This window comes from Homo sapiens, chromosome 13 (genome assembly GCF_000001405.40).
Source record: "Homo sapiens chromosome 13, GRCh38.p14 Primary Assembly".
NCBI lineage: Eukaryota > Metazoa > Chordata > Mammalia > Primates > Hominidae > Homo > Homo sapiens.
In genome coordinates this window covers 94,959,571-94,969,057 of record NC_000013.11, presented here as the reverse complement: position 1 = coordinate 94,969,057, position 9,487 = coordinate 94,959,571, and the positions used below count along the sequence as shown (strand labels likewise).

The 9,487-nt window shown below is 41.9% G+C and overlaps 1 long non-coding RNA gene across 1 annotated transcript, besides 3 other annotated features; it reads right to left on the bottom strand.

Moving 5' to 3' along the window:
* Positions 1,462–2,796: an enhancer, noted in NCBI's record as "VISTA enhancer hs189". NCBI's record gives its function as "enhancer in: neural tube[10/13]" and the evidence as "EXISTENCE:transgenic organism evidence [ECO:0001131][PMID:17130149]".
* Positions 1,462–2,848: a biological region, named in NCBI's record as "VISTA enhancers hs189 and hs341".
* Positions 1,493–2,848: an enhancer, noted in NCBI's record as "VISTA enhancer hs341". NCBI's record gives its function as "enhancer in: neural tube[7/9] | hindbrain (rhombencephalon)[7/9] | midbrain (mesencephalon)[5/9]" and the evidence as "EXISTENCE:transgenic organism evidence [ECO:0001131][PMID:17130149]".
* LINC00557 (long intergenic non-protein coding RNA 557) lies at positions 7,739–9,017 on the bottom strand. Its single transcript, NR_047487.1, has one exon. It is a non-coding gene; the product is annotated as a long intergenic non-protein coding RNA 557 (long non-coding RNA).
* Between the last annotated feature and the right edge of the window lie 470 nt (positions 9,018–9,487).

Sequence of the window (9,487 nt, the reverse complement as noted above, 5' to 3'; positions counted from 1 at the left end):
CACTAGCTCAAGTTCAGAAATTCAAAACAAGAGCTGGGTGCAGGATAAGATTTCAACTTCAGTTTTTGCCCGGCACAACTGACTTTTGTACTTTCCACCCCAAGACTCCTCCCCGAGATCAGAGCTTTGTGCAGCCTCTTCTTAAGTTACAGGGAGTTAGAGCAAAAGGGCATCTCCCGTAATGGAGCTGCAAGGAATCCCTTGCTTAGGCGCTCACGGTTATCTCTCATTCTCCCTCTCCCTTTTTCCCCGGGAACGTGAAATGCTGAGATGGAAATCCTAGGGTGAAGATCTGGGGTCCATGAATGCAGACCGAGCAGAGCTGAGGTTTGAACGACGCCTGTCTGCGGGCAGCGGAGCAGGCGCTCCCGGGAGCTTGGAGGGCGGGGATGGGAAACCTAAGAAATGCCTGGAGCCGGGTTACAGAGCCGCCCCTCGGGCACACAGCGGCCGCAGCGGCAGCCAGGAGCTCGGTGCAGAGGAACAGGGGAGGATACGCGAAGCAAATAACCCAAGTCTCCATCGGACGCCTTAACATCACCGGGAGCTGCGCGCACCCCGCGCCTCCCCCATCCCATTCCCGAGGGCCCGGGAGTTGCAGGGCCTGGCACGGGGTATCCCCGCCGAAGTCGCCCTTTCCCCGGGGACGGCAGCAGCCTCGCTCCTCCCGGGTCTCCAGGATTCAATTCGTTGCCCGCTCCTAGCTTCCCTCTGCTCTGCGACGGCCCCCACTTTTTGTAGCCCCCAAAAGCACGCAGGACCCCACATCCCCAGGAGAGGCCCTGCGGTGTTAGGGCGAGGACAGAAGGGGGAGCTAGGGACGGCGCCTACGTCCTGCGGGGAACTGGGGTGGAGGGGAGGATGGGGGAAACGGGGCCTGCAGAGTCGCCCCTGCCTCTGTGCAGCGTGGAGGCGCCAAAAGCCGAGAAGGAAATGCTCTCTGCCTTCGCCCCCAAACTTCTACTGGCCCGGCTTGCAGTGGCGAACCCCTGCAGGTAGCCGAGCGTGTGGAGAACGCCCTGGCCGGGACCCCTCGGAGGCTGCGGGTGGGCGGGACTGCGGCGAAGGGGACCCCGGCCCGACCCCAGGCGCCACCCTCCGCGGCTGCCCCGTGCGTCCCAGGCCGGGTAATTAGGAGCCCAGCCAGGTGCGCCCCGCAGCCCTACACTTTGTGGGGCTCGACCATGGAAAGCGCCGTGTCATCAGTCTGCAGGGAGTTGCCAAATGACAGAGCTCCCGGCCGCCCCGGCGCCGGCGCCCCGAGTCTCGGCCGCGCAGCCCTGCCGGGCGCCCGCAGAGGAGGCTAAGCTGCAGCCCACGCGGCGGCCGCCGGGTGCCTGCTCCGGGTCTGCGGCGGCGCCCGTGCGGGCGAGAGAAGGAGGCCGAGCGGTCCCACCCGCCCTGCTCCGAGGGACCCCCGGGGTCCCGGCTGGCAGGGAAGGAGACCTGTTGAAAACTCTTAACGCCAACTTGAAAGACAATCAAGTCGCCCGAGCAAAACCCACTCTCCAATCTGTTTTCAAGTGTCATAAACGCTGCACTGCAGTAAGATTGCTGCTCCCTTAAATGGGCCAATAATTTCCAGCTCTCGCCCACAAATTCCCCCAACAGGGGATTTCAATGTAACGCAATTCAAATAAGTAAAAACCACTTTATTGCTTTTCGAAAATTCGCATGCATTTATTCCGCTTAAAATTTGATATAGGGCATTTTTTTTTGTATTACCATTTATCGCTTGCCAAGAAATAATTAAGAATAGGAGCTCGAAGATTAATTTTAAATAAAAAATCTTCTCAAATGAAAATGTCAGGTCATAAAAATTCCTTTTAAATAACAGCATATAAATCTTTGAAATTAACCATGTAATTACAATGTCTATCAACTTTTACCTTGAGCTTTGAGCCTCTCTTTTTAATCTCCCATTCTTTTTTAATGAATAGCTATTTTGAAATTAAAAAGTACTGTTCATTACACATGCCCCACTATAATAGGGTTTTTATCATATTTGCTGTATGTAAAAATACTTGCTACTTTGTAATTATTCACACGCCGATCCTTTCCTATATTGAGTGGAAAATAAAAAATGAAATAGAAGTCAAAGGTGCTTTAGAGCTGAATGATTTACACAATTCATTAAGGACGGTGATTTTTCAGTTAGCATCAGATTAAATGGTTACTTACTCTCAAATAGCCCTTGGGGACTTGAATTGCTGGGTAGCAAACAGATTAAAGTTTGCATTGAAAGAAAAATTGAATTCAGAGGTAATCAATAGCATAATAGGGGCAGTGAGTGGTGCCTGCTGCCTGAAATGAAATTACCATATTTTTAATCTTAATTTTCCACTCTGTTTATCTGACAGTGTGGATGTGCAATCCAAACAGATAATGAGAGAGTGGGATATTGACACCGCTGTCCTCTGGAGTGCTTGTTTTCAGTGATTAAATGCTGTGATCTGTGATTACTTTGTGCAGGGATGTCAGGGCTGCTGGCCAGAACCATGGGAGGGGCACTAGCTCAGCAGCTGTAGCTCCCGACTCTCCCAGGTCCTAATGTCTGAAATTCATTTTCCACCAGTAATATAGAAAAATAAAGATTACCTATTTATGTATATACTTTGGCTGCACAAATTACAATAGTTAATCCCATTATTATTGTTGTCCTGACTCAAAAACGTTTTAATTAGATCGATATGTAGTGAACCCTCTCTGTAAGTTCTGTATTAATGAGCTAACAAACTTGCTTCTTACAGGAAGAGGTAAGTTATAGAAAGCAATAGGTTGGGAAACTTTGAAGGGAAAGTGTATTGTCATTAGAGAAGCAGTAGAGAGGAGACTGGGGCATTGTTAAAGAAATCTAGCCCCAGAGGCTGTAATTATATAACAAGCTGTGATAATTTTAAAAAATGCAAATAGTTTTCTTTGGGTATTGGGAGAAAGTCTTCGTGTGCATTTAATCAAATTAATACCTCTAGCCAAGTAAAAATACCGAATCACAAAATTTTAAAGTTATATAAATCCTATATGCTCAAAATACAGTATCTTTGGATATCTAAATGCACCATGGTGATTAGTATAATCGGGATGAATACCTTATATCGAAGGCATTATTGCATTCTGCAGTGAGGAAATTTACAATGCTTCACGTTAGAGAACATATTATGGGTGCATCATTTGAATTTGAATTCACTTGACCCTGCTGTGTGAATAGATTTACATTAGATGATGGCTATCTACCATCTATACCAACAACCTGCACTGTCCAGCAAAGACACTGTGTAAAGTCTGCGTGTGTTTAGAGAATTTGGTAATTATGCATAGTTAATTAATTTATCCTCCCTTGATACATCTGTGTACCCAAATAAAAAGGACTGAAGAAAGGGTGATGGGCAGCACTGGCTATCTGATAATAGATTATTACACAGTATTTATTTCTCCAAATTGGAGAGTAGTCATAATACACAAGTAATGGTACCATACCTCATTCAATCTTTCCTTAACCTTGGCTGCAGGCATTGTCTTCAGTTCCTAGTGCACATAATAACTTTATTTTTTTCTCAATCATTTCTGATATGCAAAACTCTCTGGTAAGGGAAAGGGAGCCCTAGGCTAAGTACACAGAAATAAAGAGTGAAAACTCACTTTGTGAAAAAGGTGACTGAGCTCCACCACTGGGTGTGAATTCAAGTTTATCAATTCCGTAATTGGCAGCGTCCCACAAAAAAAAAAAAAAAAATCCCCAACTTCCTCAAATTCCCTAACTTCTCCAGTTCGACCCAACTGGTTGAAATTGGAAAGTTTTAATAAATTAATATGTTAACCATTGAGTGGCCACAGGCTACTCTGATCTTATCGCATGTATTACTGATAAAGAAACTGGAGAGGAAATCTATGCTCATAAAAATATTGACCAATGACTTTTGCTCAGTTTCATATTTTAAGCATAGACTAAGGAGATTCCTATGTGTTATATAAACCCACAATGAGAGTGGCACATCTCCATTTTACCACCTGCTTTAGATGTGCTCTGTATGCTGTGTTATTTTGTAAATTGTACATTGTAAAATGTAAAGACAGGTTACATGGGATCCACACAATAAATGAATATAATCGAGTCCCAAGGAATCTTTATCATGGTGCTGGAATAAGCTTAAAATTTTTGCTTAGAGTCTTTTTATTTTTTATTTTTATTTTTTAAATTTATTTATTTTTATTTTATTATTATTATACTTTAAGTTTTAGGGTACATGTGCACAATGTGCAGGTTAGTTACATATGTATACATGTGCCATGCTGGTGTGCTGTACCCCTTAACTCGTCATTTAGCATTAGGTATATCTCCTAAAGCTATCCCTCCCCACTCCCGAATCTTTTTTTAAAATCACAGAAAGATGTATCAGCCAGATTAACAGAATTTAGGCTGAGCCTTTCACATAGAGTTTCAGTACCATTTTGACAATTTATTCAGTATTCAGAAGAATCCATAAACTTGAATATAAACTACATACAGTCCTGTCTTTATTACAACAAACTCATCCAATTTTTTGATAACTTGTATTGTGTTCCCTAAAATTTTTTTTATCAATACTTAAACATGCTGATTCTCATAGCAATGGAATACGGCTGATATATATCCTTTGACATGGAAAGTAGTCAAAATGCTATTGGAACTTTTTCCCTATCTTCTGACTACCTCTGTAATCCAACTGAAACGTAGGTTTTCTAAGGATATAAAAGCCTTCCTCTACCCTTATACCTGCAGTCACCATTCGAAGTTTATTGAGCTTTAGAGCAGACAAAGACTGAGAAAATCCAAACCAATCTCTTTCCTTTCACTTTCTAAATCCTGACATGGTCCATCACCTTTTAAAAATAGTGAGCTGGCCTTCTCCAAAAAGGAGAAAAGAAGCAAATCTAATGGAAAACAGTAGAGAAGGATAATCTAATCTTTAAATAAGGAGACATGTTTCTGAAAGCTTAAGAAGGGCAAGTTTCACACTGATGTCATCTTCTCCTGAAAAATGTGAGCCCTCCAGGAGGTGGAGAGGGAAATATTAATGCTATTAATCCATTGTCCTCGAATCCTTCCTAAATAGATGAGATTTGAGGGAAGGCTCTAGATCACAAGAAGTAGAAGTATTCATGGAAAACAAATGGTTTTCTCCTGATTGGCATTTAGCTTGTTCAGCCATTAACAAGCCAGTCCCTGGAAGAGCCTGAATGTTCCAGTGAACCACACACACAAATGACTGGCAGTTACTTCCTAGACGTGACCCAAGCTTTCCTTCCAAGCCAATCTGTCATGACCCGAAGAAGAAGGAAAATGTACTTATCTCTGACTCTGGAAGTGAAAGTTTATTCTGGGACATCGCTAAGTTGAGTCACATCTCAAGTACATTTTGCATTAAGGAAACAAATCCCAAAAGGGTTTCCTCAAGAAATGGTGGCTCTGTTGGACCCAGTGACAACAGTGCAAATACTTCCATCAATTTTTTCACCTCGAGAGGCCAGATTTTTTTGTTGTTGTTGTTAAGTTTTGAAGACTTTGCTTCCCTGTAGCCTTGGGGACAATTGTGGCAGTAAAAACTAAAAAATAAAGCCACCCATGATGCAAAGAGAGAAGTGACCATTTCTGCAGAGTGGACATAATGAATAGATAATGAGCTTCATAAAGCCTGCATGGAGACACATCTGAGTTACTGATTGCTCTATCACTCATGCCAGGCACAGTGCCTGGCACACAGCAGATAGTAACTATGTGCTTAAATGAATATACAGATACAGCAAACGTTTGAGAACTGCCAGGTCATTTTGATTTTTAAGTGTCATTAGTAAGTCCAGAACTTGAATATTTAAATTATGGTGAAAAGTCAATATTTTCAGGGCTTTCAGTATTTCCTACCTATACTCTATCTAAAAGTTCATTATTCTCCTAAACAACTTAAAAGACAGAGCCATAGATGAGTAATTTGCTCCCCATTTGATTAGATACTGAGTAAAGCACAAATGATCACCTTCCAGCACTGTTAGTTTCCACTGATACCCATCAGATGCTTGAGCTCCACTGACCACGTTGTCTTGACATTTTGCTTCGTATTTTTTTCGCTCTCCCTCCTCCCTTTGAGAAGATGTGCTCCTTGGAGACAGGAACTAAGTCTTGTCTTATTTTCCCTTTCCTGGGCACAGGAGGTACCTCCCAATGTGTTGAATGAATTAAAATATAAGCCTTGTATGGCAAAATCTTATCCTAAGCTGTCCCTGGATTTAAAAAAAAAAAAAAAAAAAAGCTAAGTGATATCCCTTTGGGAGTTCCATTCCCATCTCTCTTTCTGTCTCTCAGTGTCCCCAGGGTCCCCCTCCCTCATCTGTAACATGAAGGCATGGTTCTAGGTGGCTTCTACCTCCAAGATTTTATAAATTGAAGACATTCTTGAAAATTTGTCACCTGACTGGATTTGTTCACAAACTAAACATTTTGGAGACTGTAGTAACTAAGGGAAAAGTAGAGTTTCCCAAATCATCTCTTCTTTCATTCCTTGGGGAAAAGTCATAAGAGAAATGTTTTCTTTATAGAAACTTAACTATCACAAGTGGCTTCACATTTAAATATCTGCACCTAAGTCTTTCCATTTGATTTTTTGTTCTGAGACCCTTCCCACAACCATGAGGCATGAGGGTGTCTAATTATCTTTTTTTTTTTTTTTGAGACAAGGTCTCACTCTGCCACCCAGGCTAAAGTGCAGTGGCATGATCATGGCTCACTACAGCCTCCATCTCCTGGGCTCAAGTGATTCTGCCATCTCATCCTCCAGAATAGCAGGGACCACAGACACTTGCCACCATGCCAGGCTAATTTTTATTTTTTTGTAGAGATGGGTTCTCACTATGTGGCCCAGGCTGGTCTCCAACTCCTGGGCTCAAGCGATCCTCCTGCCTCGGCTTCCCAAATTGCTGGGATTACAGGCATGAGCCACCTCGTCTAGCCAAGACCTGTCTAATTCTTTCAGCCAGAAAACCCCCCACGGCACCCTATCAGTCTTATGGCAGAGAAGAGGCCCATTCTTCTGTTAACCACCATGGGGGTTGCGGTAGCTAGCCCCCAAGATGGCCCGCAACCATCCCCACCTCCTTGTCTTCACAACCTTGGTGTCCCCTCCCACACTGTACCAGATTTTCTTTATGATCAATAGAATACAGAGAAGTGGTGGCATGTCACCTCCTAGATTAGGTTATCCTAGACTGTGGCTACAGGCTCATATTGTCTGTCTTCATTTGCTGTAGGGGAAGCCAGTTGCCAGGTTGCAAACTGCCTTATGGAGAGACCCACATGGCAAAGAACAGAAGCCCTCAGTCCAATACTTCACGAGGAACTGGAGAAGCCAGCTGCCATGTCATGAAGGCATTCAGGCAACTTAGGAGAGGACCACAGAGCAGAAAATGGAAATCTCTGTTAACAGCCAATGGGCACCTGAGGCTGACCAACAACCACATGAATGAGCTTGGAAGCAGATCTCCCAGTCAAGCCTTCTGATGAAACTGTGGCCCAGGTCTGACTAAACCTCAAGAGAGACCTTGAGTCAGAATCACCTACCCAAGCTGCTCCTAGATTTCTGCCCACAGAAACAGAAATATTTGTTGTTTTAAGCTGCTAAATTTTGGTATGATGAGTTATATAGCAAGAACAGATATCAAAATATAATCATTGATCAAGAGTTTTTTTTCAATATTATGCAAACGCCAATTGTACATCTTTAGGAATCCTTTTTATTGTTATGAACCTTTTCTGCCTGCCATAGTAGGTGGTGGAGTCTAAGTGTTCTAAGATGTGGAATGTAAATTAACAATATTGTAAGATATGGAGTCTGCATGATCAAGATTATTTGTTTTTACAGTGTGTGGCAAAATGTCTTCTTCCCTTTATGCCTCTGATATTTAAGCCTTAGGACTACTTTATTCAAACCTATCTCTATAAAATCTTGTGGAGATGTGACCCAGATCAATAACTGCCTTTCTGGCCAATTAAAATACTCATGCATGTATCCAGTGAACTTACAAGTTGAATGAGAACAGGACAAACTACAAGATATTCATTGATACCAGTTCACTAGTTTCCTACCACATTTTGAAAATCAGGGCATTGGACCCATATGCAACAAGAGGCAGTGCTAAAAGGAAAACATGCTTGTAAGTGGAATGCTTGGTATTAGTCAAGACACTATTTTTCCTTTTAAATTCTCTAAAAATGACAACATGACAAATATTTACAAACAAATTAAAAACATACAACTGATTCGTGATTTTGATAGAATGTATATAACACATTTGTTCAGAATATTGAACTAGAAATCAATTCTAGTTTGAATATAGGGATTTTTCCTTATCATCTCACTGTGACTATGAAACAACAGCTACAAATTTATGACAATGTTAATAGTGACTGTTTACTGAGTACTTGTGTGATTTATACATACATTTTCACATTTAATTCAGACTTCCCTTTAAGTTGAATTTGAATAATCGTTATTATGATCCCATTTTATGGATGCAAAATTGAGGTGAGAGGGTTTCAATAATTTGCACACAGCTAGTAATAATGGACCCAGGATTCAAAGCCAAGCTTTTCTGAATCCAAGGTTCACACTGTTAGTTATATGCTATATTGTCATCCTATATTATTATTTATATTAATTGTTTTGATGGCAATATATTAGCAATTGCTGTATTCTTATAGCAAATCCATAACTACCACTAACAACAACAAAAAATTGTCACTTTCAAAAAGATTTTATGTTAAGCTCAAGGTGAGAAAAGGATCTTCCACTTACTGAGAAGACACTCAGAAAGGAACAGTGAAAGGATGATGGTGGTTTTGAGCTTCTAAACTCTCTCTACCCATCTGATGAGAAAGAAGATGGTGTCAGCATTTTATGGACACACTTCCTTCACAGGCCTGCATTTTGTAACTGTCACCATCTCCCAAGGTTTAGAGTTGGCCTTTTGTTTCAGAATATCATTTCCTTTTCAGTGTTCCTATTGAGGGTAAATATGATCTTAATATATTTCTGAGTATTCAATGCCAACCTTTAAAAAAATCTATAAACATATAATTAGATTTTTTTTTCCAGCAGAGAAGGCCATTTATGTTATTCATCTTCCCTTGGAGTCTGAGCTAGAGTCCTTTGGTTTTGCTAGTTAGGATTCAAATCAGGCAGCCTCATCAGAGAATTTCCGGGCAGCAGTCACACTGGCGCTGGGTAATGTTTGTTACTCAGACTTGAGGGGTAATGGGGAAAAGGAGGACGGCAAAGCTCACTAAACTCTTGAGCAGGTTAACATCTTCCGAATACTGCATTGTCTGCTGTTTCTGCCACTCTGTATACATCACAACTGTGAAAGACATCAAAGGAAAATAGAGAGAAATAATACATGGATTCAAACACACACACAAAGCTGCTGAACATTCATTAAAATGCATATCAAGGATGGGCAA